Source organism: Homo sapiens, chromosome 6 (assembly GCF_000001405.40).
Source record: "Homo sapiens chromosome 6, GRCh38.p14 Primary Assembly".
Classification (NCBI taxonomy): Eukaryota; Metazoa; Chordata; class Mammalia; order Primates; family Hominidae; genus Homo; species Homo sapiens.
Genome location: NC_000006.12, coordinates 33,185,820 through 33,204,483, shown reverse-complemented (window position 1 = coordinate 33,204,483; position 18,664 = coordinate 33,185,820). Strand labels below are relative to the sequence as shown.

The 18,664-nt window shown below is 54.4% G+C and overlaps 3 protein-coding genes and 1 pseudogene across 20 annotated transcripts in view, besides 4 other annotated features; 2 read left to right on the top strand and 2 right to left on the bottom strand.

Annotated features, from left to right (window-relative positions):
- On the bottom strand, positions 47–3,617 carry SLC39A7 (solute carrier family 39 member 7). Of its 3 annotated transcripts, none has more exons than NM_001077516.2 (8): positions 3,546–3,617; positions 2,828–3,242; positions 2,571–2,739; positions 2,359–2,412; positions 2,057–2,221; positions 1,784–1,924; positions 1,378–1,574; positions 47–943 (listed from the first exon to the last, which is right to left on the bottom strand). In NM_001077516.2, exons 2-8 carry the CDS (start codon positions 3,236–3,238, stop codon positions 671–673), a joined length of 1,410 nt encoding a protein of 469 aa, NP_001070984.1. In that variant the 5' UTR covers positions 3,239–3,242; positions 3,546–3,617; the 3' UTR covers positions 47–670. The 3 variants fall into 3 exon arrangements, with proteins under 3 accessions (NP_001070984.1, NP_001275706.1, NP_008910.2); NM_001288777.2 differs by having other exon boundaries at positions 2,571–2,723; positions 3,096–3,242; NM_006979.3 differs by having other exon boundaries at positions 2,828–3,617.
- Positions 2,585–3,086: an enhancer, noted in NCBI's record as "H3K27ac-H3K4me1 hESC enhancer chr6:33169175-33169676 (GRCh37/hg19 assembly coordinates)". NCBI's record gives its function as "activates a minimal SCP1, AML or CMV promoter by ChIP-STARR-seq in naive H9 embryonic stem cells {active_cell/tissue: H9 hESC(naive)}" and the evidence as "EXISTENCE:reporter gene assay evidence [ECO:0000049][PMID:30033119]".
- Positions 3,087–3,588: an enhancer, noted in NCBI's record as "H3K27ac-H3K4me1 hESC enhancer chr6:33168673-33169174 (GRCh37/hg19 assembly coordinates)". NCBI's record gives its function as "activates a minimal SCP1, AML or CMV promoter by ChIP-STARR-seq in naive H9 embryonic stem cells {active_cell/tissue: H9 hESC(naive)}" and the evidence as "EXISTENCE:reporter gene assay evidence [ECO:0000049][PMID:30033119]".
- Positions 3,589–4,090: an enhancer, noted in NCBI's record as "H3K27ac hESC enhancer chr6:33168171-33168672 (GRCh37/hg19 assembly coordinates)". NCBI's record gives its function as "activates a minimal SCP1, AML or CMV promoter by ChIP-STARR-seq in naive H9 embryonic stem cells {active_cell/tissue: H9 hESC(naive)}" and the evidence as "EXISTENCE:reporter gene assay evidence [ECO:0000049][PMID:30033119]".
- Positions 3,631–10,896, top strand: RXRB (retinoid X receptor beta). 6 transcript variants are annotated; one of them, XM_047419239.1, is made up of 10 exons: positions 3,819–4,242; positions 5,068–5,315; positions 6,123–6,176; positions 6,543–6,722; positions 7,878–8,050; positions 8,448–8,577; positions 8,782–8,914; positions 9,018–9,121; positions 9,434–9,539; positions 9,655–10,896. In XM_047419239.1, the coding sequence occupies exons 4-10, from the start codon at positions 6,710–6,712 to the stop codon at positions 9,800–9,802; spliced, it is 807 nt and encodes a 268-aa protein (XP_047275195.1). In that variant the 5' UTR covers positions 3,819–4,242; positions 5,068–5,315; positions 6,123–6,176; positions 6,543–6,709; the 3' UTR covers positions 9,803–10,896. The 6 variants fall into 6 exon arrangements, with proteins under 6 accessions (NP_001278918.1, XP_047275195.1, NP_068811.1 ...); NM_021976.5 differs by having other exon boundaries at positions 6,020–6,176; positions 9,030–9,121; NM_001270401.2 differs by having other exon boundaries at positions 6,020–6,176.
- On the bottom strand, positions 4,792–4,883 carry RNY4P10 (RNY4 pseudogene 10; annotated as a pseudogene).
- Positions 6,627–6,827: a silencer, noted in NCBI's record as "fragment chr6:33165434-33165634 (GRCh37/hg19 assembly coordinates)". NCBI's record gives its function as "represses an EF-1alpha promoter that drives an FKBP-Casp9 reporter gene in an ReSE screen in K562 erythroleukemia cells {active_cell/tissue: K562}" and the evidence as "EXISTENCE:reporter gene assay evidence [ECO:0000049][PMID:32094911]".
- COL11A2 (collagen type XI alpha 2 chain) overlaps positions 10,965–18,664 on the top strand; it is a 30,826-nt gene continuing 23,126 nt past the window's right edge. For 4 of the 11 annotated variants that reach the window (NM_080679.3, NM_080681.3, NM_001424108.1 and 1 more), the window contains exons 1-5: positions 12,017–12,325; positions 15,015–15,164; positions 15,296–15,506; positions 15,960–16,122; positions 17,666–17,857. In NM_080679.3, the coding sequence (NP_542410.2) occupies positions 12,244–12,325; positions 15,015–15,164; positions 15,296–15,506; positions 15,960–16,122; positions 17,666–17,857 (798 nt within the window). In that variant the 5' untranslated portion in view covers positions 12,017–12,243. The other 7 variants (NM_001424111.1, XM_047418183.1, NM_001424110.1 and 4 more) reach the window with 5 other exon arrangements.

The window sequence follows — 18,664 nt, the reverse complement described above, 5'->3', positions numbered from 1 at the left end:
AGAAGACAAGGGGCCCCATTCCCCCCAAAAAGACAAAGACTGCATGTGGGGCGGAAGATCGGAGGTCTTTATTTCCGGTTACCACCCCTCCCCCTCGATTCAAACACAGTGATATAAAAGGAATAGAAACAAAAAAAATCAGGCCATGAGAATACCAACTAACCCTCTCCCACCCCATCCCCCCAATCACTCCCAAATCAGGACACACGATTGATGTTTGATGTTTATCCCCGACTCCTCCTGTTACCCTCTCTGTCCAGGACTCTGGTCTTCCCTGAAGCCTCCACCAACTGGTGGGAGAAAGGAAACTGGACCTTGGAGAACTTCCTGTGTAGCAACTTGGTTCTCCGAGAACAGGTGGGGTAGGGGACACCAGGTAGGCTGCCATCACCCCCTGTCCCTTCCAGCCTTCTTCATGGCCCCATTTAGCCTTCCAAATGCAACATGGTCAGACAGTGCCCAACACTATGGTCCCTCTGGCCTCTCATTCTCACCGCTCCAGCCTCTGTAAGACTGCCAGCCCTTGAAGGCCCTAATGCCAAAGTAACCATTCTCCCAGGCTACAGTTCCTTCCTTTGGCAGATGTCCCTGGCCAGGGCCCCCAACCTCTACGCACCCCTGACCTGGAGTTAGGGGTAGAGGTTTGGGGCAGGGGTAGTTTATCCACCCCTCACTCAAGGTGGGCAATCAGCACCATCATGATAACTCCCCCCAGCAGCCCCAGCACCTCCAGAAGTGATTGCAATGGTGATGCCTCCCTCAGCAGCTCGGGCAACACAGACACTGTTGCTACGTAGATAAAGCCACCTGCAGTAAATGGCAGGACCCAGCCAGGACCTGCACCACCTGCAATTTCACTGCCCACTGCTCCTCCTTCAGTGAGAAGGGCACAGGCTGTGCCTGCCAGTGCCCCTACTGCTGTCAGTAGTTGCAGACGCATCGCCTGATGGGCAGAAAAGAGAAAAAGGCACTCACCAATAGCTAAAGATTATCAGTGGTTTAGAAGTGGCTGGTGGGGTATAGGTATAGGGGACATGGATTTGGAAACTAAACATCAAAATAAAAAGAGAAGAGGGAGCAGTCTAGAATAGACAATTTCTGAAAAATCTTAAGAGATCAGAGGTCCTTTCCACAGACTTTCTGATTGAGTAGGCGTGTGTGTGTAAGACTCCACTAAACCATTCAGATGGTTTATAGACCAGTTTAAGAAATACTGAGCTAAAGGACAAAGTAACCAGAACTTCTTCCCCCTCATTTCTAGAGGACTTGTCAATGACAGTATGAATTGTTTGGAACTAATAAGAGGCTGTTTGGGTTTAGGGTGAGTGAGGAGAGATAAAGGGTTTGAGGCAGCTGTGTTTGGCAGACATCACCAACCTGCTTTTTGCTGCAGCCAGACTGGACCAAGATGGCAAAGTCTCCGACCTCGTGGGGCACTTCATGTAGCAGGACAGTCATTGTGGTCAGGATCCCTAGTCCCCGGCCCCCTCGAAAGGAAGCCCCAATGGCCAGACCATCAGTGAAGTTGTGTGCCAAGTCAGCAGCCAGATTCAGGTACCCCGACACACGCAGGTCTTGTACAGGACAAGAAGAGAAAATGATCAGAGGCTTCCATCACCACTTGTTCCAGTCTTGGTCAGCTATTCTCACACCTCCCCTCAGAGACCACTTTACACCCAGTCCTTTAGTGTTTCTCAGATACCTGCCATTACCCACAGCACATATTCCATGTGATTTGTGATGATGTCCCTTGCCCAAATTTATCACCAACTCTGGCCCTTACCTAAGCCTCTTTTTTCTTCTTCAGCGTTCTGAGGTCTCACTGGCCCATCTTTGGGTACTGTGCTCCCTCCTCGCCTCTTCTGAACCCCTCTTGTTTCCTTTTCTTCTTCCTCTGAGCTCTGCTTCTCCTTGGTAGAACGCTCTGAGGGAAGAAAAGAGTTGGTCAGAGTGGAGAACAGATCTTCCAACATGTCCTCTCCCTCCTGAGGGCCATAAGATGAGGAGATTCTGAGGCAGGCAAGTCAGCTTTCAGGAAAGTTGTTCCTGGGCTCACCTTGTCTTCCATGTCCATGACTTCCACGTGTATGACTGTGAGCGTGTCCATGTCCATGACTGTGACCATGTCCTCCTTTCACATGTCTCACAAATTTCTCCACGACAAGAAAGGCAACAATTCCACTGAGAACCCACAGTCCCACAGACAGAATGGGGCCCTGGCCTGGGAATGGAGGCATTGAGACATTAAGGGAGATGTGCATTCCAGACTCCTCCTCCTCAAGTGCGGGAGGTGAGGAATAGGGAGAGACGGACCTTCCCCAGCACCCCAACTCCCATCCCCATCTGTCTCTTCCTCACCACTGTGGGAGTGTCCATGTCCGGGTTGCTCCAGAGTGTGGTGAGAATGAGGTTCTGGAAGAAGGGGGGAAAACCAGATGAGGGAATATCTGACACAATGAGTGTGTATTTGGGGGAATATCGAAAGGTCAGGGATCATAAAGGAGAAAGAACCCTTTTCCTCCAAAGAACGAAATAGGTTAGATTTGAGGTAGAAGTCAGAGGTTACTTACCAAGAGCATGAGGAATGAGGTGCAGGAAAGCATCTCCCAGGAGCCCACCGGAAGCAAAACTGAGCAAGATCTGAAGTAGAGAGCGATGCCGGGGAGAGTTCGACTCCACGGGGATAAGGAAGAGGACAAAAAATGGAGCTGCTGAGATCAGCACTGTGGCCCCCAGTGCCTGGTGAGGGAGAGTCAAGGTCAAGTACTGTGGAGTTTCCCAACAATCCAGAACCAGCCCTTCTCTCTCCCATCCCCTGGAGACTCACATAAGCCCAGAGAGTGACAGCATCCAGGTCCTGCTTGATGCCTGGAGCCCCAGACTCCCCATAGCCTCCATGGCTATGCTCATGGTCATGTCCATGTCCTCTGTGGTAGAGGCTCTCATGGGAGTAGCCATGGCTATGGCCATGGTGTAAATCCTCATGTGAATGTCCATGGTCGTGATCGTGGGTATGTCCATGCCAGATGCTCTCGTGAGTGTGGCCATGGCCATGGGCATGGCTGTGGCCATGGTGGAAATCTTCATGTGAGTGCCTGTGGCTGTGGCCATGGAAGTCCTCTTGCAGATCGTCGTGCAGGTCGTCATGACCCCCGAGTCCAGCCACCAGAAGCCCCAAGGTCGCCCAGGTCAGCAGTCCCACGGCCACCCAGTGGGGGGCCCCCAGGCCTCTGGCCATCACGCTGACCAGAGGGACAGAGGCAGTGACTCCACTTGACTCAACTCTATACCTACACAGGGTCCGCTTTACTCCAATCGCGCCCTCCGTCCACCTCTATGGGCCGCTCTCCCATTCCCTTAAGTTCCCACCTACATTGTTCCCAAGACTAGTTCTCTTTATCCCGAACCACCTCCCGGATGTAGGGCCCTGGGACACTAATCTTTCACCAGCCACTTTACAGACTCTCTGGGCCCTCGTCTCTACGACTCATTAGGTGAGGAAAAGGCCTGGAAAGGATGGTAGAGAAAAAACAGAGAATTCTCACCGGCTCCGGGATCCTCTCCTTTCCCGGTTTGCTTGGACGTGGCAGTCCCGCCTTTAGATCCCGCGAGAACAGGAAGTTCCGTTCCACCTTCGCCCTAATGCCTTTACCAATATGGCGGCACTCCGGTAGCGACGAATCCATCCTGCACTGACACGCATGCGCGAGTGTGGAGGTGATTTGAGGGGAGGGTGGGCGAGGCGGGCTAACAGGCCGGAGGAGACCGCCTCCTCGGTTTCCAACTAGACGAGGGGGCGGGAACTCGCGCCGAGACTTCCCGTCTGTACAAAGATGGCTGCCACATTGGCGCTGTCATTTTGGTACTGAGCAGAGCGACGGGCTTAATTCGACCCAATCCAGGCCAGAGTCTTTCTCTCAGGGGCTTCCTCGTGCTCAGCTAATCCTCCGATCAATCCTTGGGAATCCCTGGGACCTCTTCGGTATCCCTACTCTCAGCCAGGGATCATGTCTTGGGCCGCTCGCCCGCCCTTCCTCCCTCAGCGGCATGCCGCAGGGCAGTGTGGGCCGGTGGGGGTGCGAAAAGAAATGCATTGTGGGGTCGCGTCCCGGTGGCGGCGGCGACGGCCCTGGCTGGATCCCGCAGCGGCGGCGGCGGCGGCGGTGGCAGGCGGAGAACAACAAACCCCGGAGCCGGAGCCAGGGGAGGCTGGACGGGACGGGATGGGCGACAGCGGGCGGGGTGAGTGCCCCAGCAGAAGGGCAGGCGAGCCAGTGACCGCTTTATCTGCGACCCCTCCCCCACACCCTCCCCCGGTGCTCTTTTCCTTGCGCTCCCGCCCCCTTGTTTGTAAACACGCGTCCCCTCCCTCCCGAGGGCCTTAGCACCCTCCCCCCCGGGGCGGGGCGGGGAAGGGGAGCTTCCGCCCTCCTAGCTGTGACCGCTTGAGGCCTTGGGCACCGGAGGTCGCGGGCCTGGGAAGGGCACGATTCCTCTTAAACCTCAGGACTTTGGGCGTTTACAGGCAGATCCTGCGTCTTAGGAGGGGTCTCTCCTGCCTGTCTCTTTCCCTTGCACGCTCTGGCTACCTGGCTTTACGCTGGGAATAGAGGGGCTCGATGGTCTACCCCACGTGCTGCCCCACCCACGAGACAGGTGTGGCTTTGGGATGACCTGGTATTCATTCAAATGGATTGGTTGGAAAATTTTCCTCACCTGAACTATCCTCCTCTCCTTGTCAACTCCCTCCTCTCACCACAATGAGGAGTTACGCTGTTTTTGGGTTTTTTTAGCCAGTCAAATATAGCAGTGGGAGGTTGTATACCAATTTTAGTGACACAAATGTTAATAAGTTCTGATAACCCACTACCATCGGACCAGCCGGAGTTACACTGTTGTTTGACAGCAGGGTGTCTCTGAACTTGGGGATGGGTGGAGTGGGCTGGGTCCGGCACGGTGGGGTATTAGAGAATTAAAGTCTCTAGTTGGATGTTTGAAGACTCATTTTCTTTTTTTGTCTCTTCTGTCTCTTGTGTGTCTGTGTGCCTGTACATACCCCTCCCTCAGACTCCCGAAGCCCAGACAGCTCCTCCCCAAATCCCCTTCCCCAGGGAGTCCCTCCCCCTTCTCCTCCTGGGCCACCCCTACCCCCTTCAACAGCTCCATCCCTTGGAGGCTCTGGGGCCCCACCCCCACCCCCGATGCCACCACCCCCACTGGGCTCTCCCTTTCCAGTCATCAGTTCTTCCATGGGGTCCCCTGGTCTGCCCCCTCCAGCTCCCCCAGGATTCTCCGGGCCTGTCAGCAGCCCCCAGGTGAGAGGTTGTGACCAACTTACTGCCTGGCCACTTTCATTTTCTTGTTTTCCTTGTAACCCCAGATCCTTGTGTGAACTTCCCCATGGCCCATTGACCTTCCAATCCTCTAACCTTGTCAGGCCTGTGGTCTTTATGAGACCCCTTGCCTTTCCTGAGGTGACTGATCTTTCAGTGCATGCTTCCTCCCCTAAAAGAACTCTAATATTCTTTGTTTTTGTGTGTGTGTGTGTGTTTTTTTTTTTTTTTTTTTTTGAGATGGAGTCTTGCTCTGTTGCCCAGGCTGGAGTGCAGTGGCACAATCTCAGCTCACTGCAACCTCTGCCTCCTGGGTTCAAGCAATTCTCCTGCCTCAGCCTCCTGAGTAGCTGGGATTACAGGTGCCTACCACCACGCCCGGCTAATTCTGATATTCTTGATGTCCTTTTCATCTATCTGATTTTCTGCCCTTTTGATCCCATCTGCTTTCCCAAGACACCTGCCCTTCAGGGTCACTGTGTTGCACAATTTCAGGGGGGGCCTGTTTATTCACTTTGGGGTTGTGCTCCAGGGATGGCCTTTCACATAGACTGCAGTGTAAATGACAGCCTCTGGAATGTGCATTGCAGGGCCTTGCTTAGTGGTAGGGAATGATTTCCATCACTTCTGTGACATTCTGCTTCCCAATAAGTCTTCCTGTGACTTCCCTATTTCCCCCATCCCAGATTAACTCAACAGTGTCACTCCCTGGGGGTGGGTCTGGCCCCCCTGAAGATGTGAAGCCACCAGTCTTAGGGGTCCGGGGCCTGCACTGTCCACCCCCTCCAGGTGGCCCTGGGGCTGGCAAACGGCTATGTGCAATCTGCGGGGACAGAAGCTCAGGTATGTGGCTCAGAGGATGAACAGAGAGGGAGAGTCTGGGCCATGTATCATCACCTGTGGGATTCCCAGGGCTTATGGAGTTTGGTCAGAGCAAGTGACCTGGGGGAGGCCTGATGGGAGTAAAGAAGCTGAAGCTGAGATGTAGGACGCGATTGGGGGGAAGGTCAGAGGGAAAAGGAAGCAGCGTGTAGGGTTTCTGAACAGTGAGGAGACTGGGACTGGATCATCACTCAGCTCCTGGTTCCCTATCTCTGTATTTGGCAAACAGGGAGGACTTTAAGTTTTGCTAGGGGGAGATTGGAAACAGACTAAATGGTGAAGGTGTCTCCATGCAACCTTCTTATTGCTCCTCCCCTTTCCCTGTAGGCAAACACTACGGGGTTTACAGCTGTGAGGGTTGCAAGGGCTTCTTCAAACGCACCATCCGCAAAGACCTTACATACTCTTGCCGGGACAACAAAGACTGCACAGTGGACAAGCGCCAGCGGAACCGCTGTCAGTACTGCCGCTATCAGAAGTGCCTGGCCACTGGCATGAAGAGGGAGGGTAAGGACCCGCCCTGCCCAGGCGTCTTAGACCACATGCCCTTCTCCCTTATCCCACTCAGACTGTGTACCTCTCTGGAAGGGTGGACTGCTCTCTCTCCTCTAGAGGGCGATATTTGATTTCTCTCTCCCTTCGCAGCTCTCCTCCCTGTTACCCTGTTCTGGCCCTTGAGTTTCCTTCTTAATGGTTAGGCCTCTGTGGCCTGCACATATGACCCCTCCCTAGACTGATCCTAGGATAGGATAACTTTTCCTTAGCCATGATGGGCTGTCTCCCCATTTCTAACCTGAGTGGTTCCTCCTCTGATTCCATGGACCTTCTCTGGTCTCTGTCTCCTGTTATCTGTGATCTTTCCTCTAACTCCTGGGACTGGGCACTCTTAAGCTTACAGACTTTACTGAAGACCTCAGGGCTTCCCTTCCTTCTTCTGTGTCTCCATCTTATCTTCTTAAGTCAGATTCCTAGGATTCTGAGAGACACTTTAGAGCATATCTTGGTCAAAACACCCACTTTAGAGAAGATGAGCCTGAGGCTTGGCTTTCCCAAGGTCATGCAACAAAGGAGTGGCAGGCAGGTTTGGGATCAGAACCCACATCTTCAAAGACCTAGGCCAGTGCTCCTTTCACTGCCTATTTGTTGAGTCAGAAGAGCACAAGATTTGCACTCAGACACACTTAGAGTCAGTTGTATGACCTGCCATGTATTATATGAATTTAAGCAAACTAATCTCTTTGAACCCCGAGTTCTTCATCTTAAAAATGAGAATAAATGCTTCCAGCATCATTATGATAATTGAGTGAATGGTAAAATGTGCTTAGCATGTTTCTTGGCATATTTTATTTAAAAAAATTTTTTTTTTCAATCAGCTTTCTCAGGTTGAATCTTGGCATGTTTTTTTTAACCATGTAGTAGGCTCTCCATTTAAATTCCTCCCTAATTCTTTTACCTACCTCACCCTTCCCGACTGACTTACCTGCCCTTTTATAACCCTTCCTTCAGGGCTGCCCCCAGTCCACCCTTTCTAGTGACTTCCCCAATTCCTATAAATATCTCCCAAGGGCCATGAGATCCTGATGAGGCCGTAAGGATATTTGTGGAACCCCTTCATGGCTGGCTGCTGACTTTCCATTTTTTCTCTCCCCCTTCCCCCTGCAGCGGTACAGGAGGAGCGTCAGCGGGGAAAGGACAAGGATGGGGATGGGGAGGGGGCTGGGGGAGCCCCCGAGGAGATGCCTGTGGACAGGATCCTGGAGGCAGAGCTTGCTGTGGAACAGAAGAGTGACCAGGGCGTTGAGGGTCCTGGGGGAACCGGGGGTAGCGGCAGCAGCGTGAGTGTTGGGGTCAATCCACTCTCCTTCGTGATGGGGGTTGGGGGAGGCAGTCTAGGTCTGTTCTACATCCCCTCCCCCTCCTTTCCCCTCATAACCTTCCTAACACTACTTGGGACTGGAGGTGCTGCCAAACAAGGTCTTTCAAACATCTGAGGTGGATGTGATAGCTCCTTCTGTCTCCACTCCCCAAACAACCCACTGGCAGAACCATAGGCATGTCCCAAATAAATAATTGTTTGCACTAATGCCAGAAGAGAAGACTCACTTACAGGGATTGGTTTGGATGGGGCTCACAGGAAGACTATATGTAAGGAGGGGGTGTCAAAAGCCTCTTACAAGGGGGCTCCCAGCATATCTCAAAATCTTCCATAACTCTTACCCCCGTCCCCTGCAGCCAAATGACCCTGTGACTAACATCTGTCAGGCAGCTGACAAACAGCTATTCACGCTTGTTGAGTGGGCGAAGAGGATCCCACACTTTTCCTCCTTGCCTCTGGATGATCAGGTCATATTGCTGCGGGCAGGTCAGTGACCTTGGATCCCTTTGACTTCTTGACATTTGACCCCTCTTTGACTTCCCGATCTTTAGTGACCCCAGTGGCCTTACCTTGCGTACCCAGGGAGCCAAACTTGCTGACCTCGCCACCTCTTTTCTCCTTCTCTTCCACTGATGTGCTTTGAATCCCTTGGCCTGATTTCTGGCTCCTGACCCTTGCTGCCCCACCCAGGCTGGAATGAACTCCTCATTGCCTCCTTCTCACACCGATCCATTGATGTTCGAGATGGCATCCTCCTTGCCACAGGTCTTCACGTGCACCGCAACTCAGCCCATTCAGCAGGAGTAGGAGCCATCTTTGATCGGTCAGTGGCCCTCGGCTAGGCTGGCATGTAGATAGAGGGGGTGGGGCTATAGGCTGGTCCGTGTCCAAGGCTGGCTGAGCTGTGACCTTTGAGTGACCTGCAGGTCCCTCTCCAGGGTGCTGACAGAGCTAGTGTCCAAAATGCGTGACATGAGGATGGACAAGACAGAGCTTGGCTGCCTGAGGGCAATCATTCTGTTTAATCCAGGTAAGAGGAGGATTACCTTTGTCTCTCAAGGCCAAGGCAACCTTGGAGCCTCCTCTTCTCCGAGACTCCTAAGTTACCCAGCTATCCCCCTCAGTAAGACCCTCAACCTGGAAATCTCCCAACTGGCCGAGGAAAAACCCACATCCACGGATCCATCCCACAAACCCAGTGGGCCCTGCTTCCCTTGCCAGGCCTCTGGTAAAGGGCAAGCAAGTGCAGCCCAAAAGGGGCATCCTGTGGCTCACATCTGCATGGCCATCCTGATTTGGTTTGTCTTCATTTCTCTTCCTCCTCTCTTCCCTGCCATCCCAGATGCCAAGGGCCTCTCCAACCCTAGTGAGGTGGAGGTCCTGCGGGAGAAAGTGTATGCATCACTGGAGACCTACTGCAAACAGAAGTACCCTGAGCAGCAGGGACGGTGAGATGGGGCTGGGGGGCACTGAGGCTCCCTTGGGGGTGGGGAGTGCTATGAGGATGTGTTCAGGGCCCGTGTGCTTCCAGCTCTCAATCCCCTTCTCCCACCTCCACCCCAGGTTTGCCAAGCTGCTGCTACGTCTTCCTGCCCTCCGGTCCATTGGCCTTAAGTGTCTAGAGCATCTGTTTTTCTTCAAGCTCATTGGTGACACCCCCATCGACACCTTCCTCATGGAGATGCTTGAGGCTCCCCATCAACTGGCCTGAGCTCAGACCCAGACGTGGTGCTTCTCACACTGGAGGAGCACACATCCAAGAGGGACTCCAAGCCCTGGGGCAGGGTGGGGGGCCATGTTCCCAGAACCTTGATGGGGTGAGAAGTACAGGGCAGAACCAAGAACATAAACCCTCCAAGGGATCTGCTTGATATCCCAAGTTGGAAGGGACCCCAGATACCTGTGAGGACTGGTTGTCTCTCTTCGGTGGCCTTGAGTCTCTGAATTTGTCGGGTTCTCCCATGATTTGGGGTGATTTCTCACCCTCTGTCCTTCCCCCAGCACAAAGCACTGGCCTTGCCTCCAGGACCTTGCTTCCTTCTCATCTTGCCTCATTTTGCTTCCCATCTGAAGAGTGGAAATGGGGAACTCCCCCAGAGGTGGATACTGGGGGGCAGGCCTCCCAAGCTGATGGACATGAGAGTAGGGCCCTGACAGGCCTTCCTCCTCTCAAACCTGGCAGATGGGGGCCTCTCTGGAAGAGGGAGGGGCCCTGTCACTGTCCAGAGTCTCTTTTTACACTTCACCTCCTTCTGCAGTCAGACTGAAATATAAAAAAGGTGGTGGTGGTGGTGAAGGGGCTGGTGGAGATGTAGGAACCGATCTGCTATTTTTAATTTCCTGTGAGGATAGAGACTTGCAGTTAGACTCAAAGAAGTACTGTACTTTCCCAGGTTGACTAAGAAATGCCAGTGGTGGAGGTGGGTGTTTGGGAAAGGCAGGGCCCTGAAATGGCCTGTCCCTAGGGCTCTCCAAGCACTAGCCTTCCCAGCTTCCCGCCGCCCCCCCTATCTCTTCCTGTCTAACTTGGGGAAGGGGCCTGGGCTGTGAGGACAGGGCCCCCACAGGGGATGGTTTCACGAGTGTAGTCCCGGAGGCCTTCCCTTTACAGCTCTCCTCCAGCCCTGGGCACATAGCATAGGCTGGGGACACAGGATCCTGGCCTGAGAATTGAGGGGAGGTGGCCAGCCCGCAGAGGTGGGGTGCTGGGGCTGCATGATTTTTGCCCTGCGTCCCTTCTCTTTGGGGCTCCTTTCCCCTCTCATACATAAAATCGCTTTCAAATTAAAATCGCTGTTTTCTGGACTGAGGTGACTGTATGAGGATGGGCAGCGCCGTTTCGGGCTTGGGGGGGGTATCCGGTTGGGAGCTCCGGACGCGATCCCTGGACGCCGCCGCCGAGGTTCCGTGGGGCCCAAGAGGTGCACGCAGGGTGGGGGACACAAGGCAAGCTTTGTCGGGGAGGGGGGGAGAGGGTGTGCCAGGCTGGGGGCGGGGCCGGCCGGAGGAGGAAGGGGGGGCGGTGGATTCTCAAAGGCGCCTTGTTCGCTCGTGCCCTCTCCGCGCCAGCGGGCGGCGGCGCCTCGGCTCGCTGCGGCCTTCCCTCCGGGCGCGCTGCGGGCTCCGGGCAGACCCGGCGCCGTGCCCGCTCGTGGGGGCGCACTGGGCGCCGAGCGCTGCGTGCTTCTCAGGCGTTGCCCGCCCGGAGGCGGCCCACGTCCCCGAGTGACCCCATTTCCCTGGACCCTTCCAACCAGAGTCGACTGCTCGCTCATCTTACCACTGCTCCCCCTCTACCTCGGCTCTGGGACTCCCTAACCGCGTCCCCCATTTGCATCTCCTTGGACCTGACTATCCTGTGTTTGTCGGTGGGTCCCAGTCTCTGGCCTCTTGCTCTCCGTAGAACACCTTCCCCCACATCCCCCGCCCCAGTTCGTCGCTATCTATAGCCTTGTCTATAAATACCCCCGCCCCGGCCCGGCTCTGTAATTACACGGGGCGGGGTGAGGGAAGTAATTATGGAGACCTGATTATGGGTGGGGTGGGGACTGCGACCCCCAGGCCCGCCTCTCCCCCTCCCACTGTGCCCTAAATCCCGCCCAGGCCTCTGCTGAAAGGGGGCTCTGGGCCCCCAAGAGGGAGGGAATGGGAGGGAGTGTGTGTGACTGGACGTTTGGGTCCTAGAAAAGGAAGGGGCTAGGGAAGATATTGGGGTTCCCGAAAAGAGAATCTTAGGGTACAGGCCGTTGAGACCTACAAGGGGCAGGAGAGAGCGAGCGATAGAGGGAGGGTTCCCGCCTCCCTCCCCAGGTGGAGACTGAGGGTGGGGTTTCCCTTCGGTGGCTGTGGGCGGGCGGCTGGAGGCGGGGGCCGGGCCGGGGGCGGGGGCGAGGTGGGGGCTCTGGGCGCCAGGGTGGCCGGGGACACACAGAAGCGGCAGCCACCGAGGAGGGAGCAGTGCCGGGAGCCCCGACGGCGCCTTGCTGCATGGAGCTGGGCCGCTGACAGCTGTCGCTGCCCGCAGCCTCTGACCTCCCTGGGACCCCGGCGTCTGAGGCTCATAGTCTGCTCCCTGTCTTCTGTCAGCCTCAGGGCATCCAGCGTCTCAGGCCGACCTGGGTCCCTGGGACCCGGCGTTTCGGCTTCTCAGCCATGGAGCGGTGCAGCCGCTGCCATCGCCTCCTCCTCCTCCTACCTCTGGTGCTGGGGCTGAGCGCGGCCCCAGGCTGGGCAGGTAAGAGGAGTCCTGATGCCTGGGTCCTCGGAGTCAGGCTGGAGCTCTGAGTGTCTCTGGGAAGGGGCCAGCTGATGCCTGGGGCAGCAGCTTCTGAGTCTAACAAGGAGATTTGGGGCTTCAAGGCTACAGGCTGGAGGGCAGGACACCTGTGTTCCTTGGCATCAGGGTAGGAATCTCTTTGTCCTTGAAGTGACTGGGGGAGGGCAGATAGGGCTGAAAGGTGGAGGACCACTTTAGAGACCCTGAATGGGGATGGATGCTTGTCTTGAGTCCTTGGGAAGAGCTGAAGATGGCCAGGGCCAGCCCGGTCCAGTCATTGCTGGTGTGGGGATGGTAGACGCCAATGTTGATGGGTGAGGCGTGTGTGTCTTATGGCCTTTCTGTCGATATCTCTGGGATAAGGGGTGAGCACCTGTGATTCAGAGCAGAGCCCAGTAAGCCCAGAAAGAAAGGAAGCCTTGACTACCTGTCTCATTGGCCTCCTGGACAGGGTCCCCCTCCCCCTCCCTGTGCCCTCGATGCTGCCACGCAGCTGGCTCTGGGGAGCACTGGGGCTGGCTGCCAACAGGACGGCCCTCCGGACAGGCCAGGATCAGGTGTCTGAGGCCAGAGCCAACTCTTTGCATTCCTGCCTAGCCCCTCCTCCCTCTGGCCAGCCAGGCTCCCCTGGGACCCTGGTGCCCACAACCCTGATCTTTTCCTTCTTTTTCCCAGGACCCAGAATTCCTGGCTTCTAGGAAAGGGGATTTGATGTCAAGGAGGGGGCTGTGAGCACCAGGTCCTCAGCAGGCTGGAAAAAGCCCATTTCTGGAGACACTGAGGGCTGATTTATATTTAACTTGACTATTCAATTCTTCTCTGCTTTAGAGAGAAAATGGTCAGAATGGCAGCACAAAAGATTTAGATTAGATTACAGAAGGAAGAACTTCCAAGATGTGAGGACAGTGAAGCCCAGGGCCAGGAAATTGAGGCGTATGGTGCCTGTAGACTCTAGGAGTCTTTCTTAGGGGGAAGAGGGATCCTCTGGCATGGAGGCAGGGGGATGGCTAAGATGACTGTTTCTTATTTCAGGGGCTGAGTGGGTAGAGATGGGACTTTAGGGAAATGAGTTACTGTAGAATTCCTAAGGTTAGAGAATAAGGCATTTGGGGGGCCAGAGGTAGAGTGGTGGAGGGTAATGGGGCTACCAGTGGAGAGCCTGTGGGGCAGATGAGGCTGGATACAGGGGGGCAAGTATGTGGCCTGGTGTGGGAAGATGGTGGGCGGACCTGTGGGTAGGTTGTCCATATGATCGAATTGTACTCCCTTGGGATTTGGTGGAGGGTGGGGACCTCCGAGGTCTCCTTGGCCTGGGGTCTCTGTGAGTCTCTGTGTCTCTGTCTCACTCACCCTTCGTCTCTCAAAGCGGCCCTTGTGTGTTGGTGTTTGCGGAGCTGCCACACGCGCAGGGGCCAGGCTTAGGTGGGGGTTGGGGGGGAAGGCCGTGGTTTCCCGGCTCCTGGACTCAAAGGGCCTTTTCTCTGCCTGCCCGCCCCACCTCACCCACCCCACCCAGCTCCACTCTCCTGATTGCTCTGGCCTCTGCCCTGCCCCACACTTCTATGAAAGTTTTGCTGGAACTCTCTTTGGGATTTTTCCAATCTGGAGCTGATGGTGTGAAGAGTATGTGTATAGGGGAGCAAGTGAGGGCAAGGTGATCTTTTGTTTTCCAGGGAGTTTGAGCCCTAGGAAGCTGAGTTCTAGTTAGACAGGGCTGGTGGGCTGGATCTTGAATCTTTGGGTCCCAGGTGGTGGGGTTGGTGGGGGTGGTGAGACAGGATTGAGGTTCCAGGTGTGGGGAGCTTGCCTGGGTTCTGGGCAAGCACTCTGATGGGATCCACAGATGTGTGGCTCAGGGCCCTGGACCTGTTCCGGCTCCTCGTGGCAGCTTCAGCCCCTGCCCCCCATTCCTCCACCCCTCCCCAACTCATCTCCTAAACCAGGAGGCACAGACTCCTGGGAGAGCTTTCTTGTATCTTTTTCCTCAGCATGCTCAGGGTTGTTCCCACCCCATCCCCCAAACCTGGGATCTGTAGCTGCTTGAAGCCCCTCTCATAGAGCTGCTTCTCTGATCTCTTCCTCGTGGCCCCCCTGCACCTCCTGTGTCCAGGATGATCGATTGCCCAGATGTTGTTTGTGCTGGAGACGGGACAGATGCCAGAGACCCAGAGAGTGAGAGATATGGAAAGAGAGTGAGAGCGAGGGAGAGAAAAAGATGGACAGAATGTGAGAGAAATGGAGGAAGACAGAAGAGACAGAGACAGAAAGACCAACATAAAGAGACAGAGAGAGTAAGAGAGTGAGAGAGACAGGAGACAGATGAAGAGTTGAGAGAAGTATTCAGAGAGTACAGAGAGAGACAGATTCATAAGCTAAAAGACAAAGAGAGAGCGTAAGAGAGGCAGATGCTAGGAGAGACAGGGGCAGGAGTGTCATGGGGTTGAATGCCAGCTGATGCTGCCCTGCCTCCAGGTACCTTTGCATTTCCCATCCATTCAGGTACTGTTCAGAAGCAAGTGAGGGTGAGGTGACCTTTCCCTTGCAGGGAGTTTGAGCCCTGGAAAGCTGAGTTCTAGATCCCAAATGTCCCCTATTTATGCCCTCCTGAGGGCATGTCCCTTCTCCTGATAATCATGGACTCTCCCAGGTGCACCCCCTGTGGATGTGCTCCGGGCCCTGAGGTTCCCCTCCCTCCCTGATGGTGTCCGGAGAGCGAAAGGCATCTGTCCAGCTGATGTGGCCTACCGAGTGGCACGACCTGCCCAGCTCAGTGCACCCACTCGCCAGCTTTTCCCAGGTATGGGTGACATGGTGGGGTAGGCCTGGGGGGAGGTAATGGGATGGGGCCTAGGATCAGACACCAGGAGGAAAGGGGTTGTGGCGGCTCCCTTTGCCTCTCACTCTGTGTGTATCTCTCTCGGTTACTAGGAGGATTTCCCAAAGATTTCTCTCTGCTGACTGTTGTCCGGACCCGCCCTGGTCTCCAAGCTCCCCTCCTGACTCTCTACAGTGCCCAGGGTGTCCGACAGCTGGGCCTGGAGCTGGGCCGACCTGTCCGCTTCCTGTATGAAGACCAGACTGGGCGGCCTCAACCTCCCTCTCAGCCAGTCTTCCGAGGCCTCAGCCTAGCAGATGGCAAGTAAGTTTGTTTGCTCCTCTGGTCTGCCTGGCCCACACTTTCAGGAGGAAGTGCCCCCAAACCCCTACACTCTAAACTGTGAAACCCTTGAGACCCTTTGGGCCACACCACACCTACCCACTGCCCAAACTTCAGTCACTTCTAGTCCAGAGTTTGGGCTTTAGAGTGTACAGCCTTCTCTGCATGTTGAACTAGCCTGTACCTTGGGCAAGTTACTTAAAATTTTTGAGCCTCAGTTTCTACATCTGTAAAATAGACATTAAATAGAATTGGCACAAATAAGAAAGTGACGGCATGGTGTCTGGTGCACTGTAAACACTCAATAAATGGTAGCCATTGTTATTACTGCTCTTATCACCATTGGCTTCAACTCTTATCACTGCTCTCCAACCATGTTGACTCCCCTACTTCAGTCAGCCAAGAGTTCACTTGAACCTCTTCCACCATTTCCAGGTGGCACCGTGTGGCTGTGGCTGTGAAGGGCCAGTCTGTCACCCTCATTGTTGACTGCAAGAAGCGAGTCACCCGGCCTCTCCCCCGAAGTGCTCGTCCAGTATTGGACACCCATGGAGTGATCATCTTTGGTGCCCGTATTCTGGATGAAGAAGTCTTTGAGGTAACCAGAGCAATCAGAGGCAGGATTGACTTCTGGTCCCCTATCTTGTGCCCACTACCCTTCTGGCCCCAGCATGTCATCTTCCTATTCCCTAGGCCTTCATTTTTTTTTCTTATGAATTTTCATTTCTATTTTCTATCTTCAGGGCTACTGTTCTCTGCAGGAGAACTAGATGCCTACCTATATGGCAGGACTGTCCACAGCCACTTACTCTGTCCTTCAGTCTTCATCAGTTCCCTCATCCATCCATCCTTTCAACCCCTCTCTCTCCTCACCCACCCATCAATTCACTCACTCCTCAGCCAACCTATGCACACATCCACCACCCACTCCCCCATCTATTTACTCATCTATGCATCACACGCCCACCTAGTCATGCATGAAGGCTTATATCCACCCACCTGTCAATCCTCCCCCTGCTTAACCACTCTCCCCTTCAAACCACCCATCTATGCTTCCACCCATCTATCCTCTTCAACTCCTCCATCCAGCTATTCACTCACCCACCCACCCTCCCCATCTACCCATGCACACAAGGATGCATGCATCCATTCAGCCACCATCTATCCATTATCCTTCCACCAACTCAACCACTCCCTCCTTCAATATACTCACTCACCCATCTCCTGACCCACTTACTTCCCATCCGACCAGTCATTCACCCACATAAGTTCACCCATCTACCTATTCACCCATTTGCTTCCATCTACTCTGTAACCCCTGTTCATCTGCCCACCAGTCCACCCTCCCATACGTACATTTATTCATTCACTATTTATCAATGCTCCCATTCATTAATGCATGTAAGCCCCCAGCCACCCATCCACTCATCTATCCATTCATCCATCCCTCCATTCACCCATCCCTCCATTCACCCTCCAAGCCAGTCAACATTTTCTGAATACCTGCTGGACAAGGAGAACAAAGAAGAGAATATAAAGTCTCTATCACCCCCAAGAGCTCCCAGGTGGGCTCTGGAAATGAGACAACATCCCTAAATTACGGTGCAATGGAGAGTATGCTAAGCACCATGTGTGGGCAAAAGTAAATGCCATTGGAACTCAGGAATGGGTTCTCCCCACTCCATTTCTAGAGGTCCAGAGAATTCTCATCATCACTGCCATTGGAAGGCCAAGGCATCTAAAGCTGAGCCCTGTCTCTGGAAGCCACTGTGGAAGGGCTCATGCATTGCCACAAAGCGCAGAGGGGAGGCAAAGAATTCTGGAAGGCCTGGGATCTGGTCCTGATTCTGCCACTCTGGGTGACCTTGGGGCAGTCATTGCCTTTTTGGGCTTTTCTGAATGGAACGTATCTGAAAAATGGGTAGAAAGAAAGATCCTTGTTCTGCCAACTTTCCTGGTTGTTATGAAGGTCCTATGAGATCCCTTGAAAACTGAAAAGGGCTATGCATATGGAGGACTGACAGTGACCTTCTCCCATCTTAGGGTTTTACCTAGGATTGGCCTCCTATACTCTTTCTCCCGGATGATACCCTCTGCCTCTCTCTGAATCTCTCCGCTCCATCTCTCTCATGTCTTTGCAGGGTGATGTCCAGGAGCTGGCCATTGTCCCAGGGGTCCAGGCAGCCTATGAATCATGTGAACAGAAGGAGCTGGAATGCGAGGGGGGCCAGAGGGAAAGACCCCAAAACCAACAGCCTCACAGAGCCCAGAGATCTCCACAGCAGCAACCATCAAGACTTCACAGGCCACAAAATCAGGAACCCCAGAGCCAGGTGAGGGAGCTGGGAGAACCCCCAAGTGCAGCACACCCCAGAGAGGGAAGACACCCAGGCATCTCTCCTCCTTAGTTGTCCTCCCCACCCTCATCTCCCTATTCCCATCACCCCCTCCTCCTAGTCCTCATTCATCAGCCTTTTTATTTTCATCTAAAAATAAAAAGAGTTGTTATGAAGAATTTGTGGCTGGGAGCTGTGTTCCCTGCTCTGCGTCTCCTCTTCCAGTCTTCCTGGAACTGTGTCCCTGGGTTTTCCCTTCCTTCTTTGAATTAAGAGATTGGGAGACAGTGGGAGAGGGGTGAGAGCTGGGGAGGCAGGTAGGAGAGGGGACTGAAGCCAGGAGAAAGCAGTCGGGATGGTGAGACCAAGGAGGAGGAATGGGAAGGAGTAGGGATGGAGGGAATATCAAAGGAGGGGTGGGTCTGCAGAAGTGTGGGAGTGGGGAACCCAGTCTCTGGCCCCCACCTACCTGGAGGGGCAGGAAAAGGGGAGGTAGTAGGGGGAAGGGAAGGGAAGGGAAGGGAAGGGAGCCTGGGTTGGATGGGGTCTGGAGAGTTAGAATACAGATAGGCTCTGGGGTCAGTGGTCTAAAGATCAGAGGGTCAATCTCTTAATCATGTCTGCTTCTGCCCCACATGTGGAACCCCTTCCCTCTGTTCCACCTCTCCCCACCTCCCTCCTGACCCTCAACCTCTCCTTTCATCTTCAACTCTCTGTTTCCCAACTCCACACCTCCCCCGTTTCCCAACTCCCACACCATCTTTATATCTCCCTCTCCCGCCCTTCACCCCACACCTTCCAATT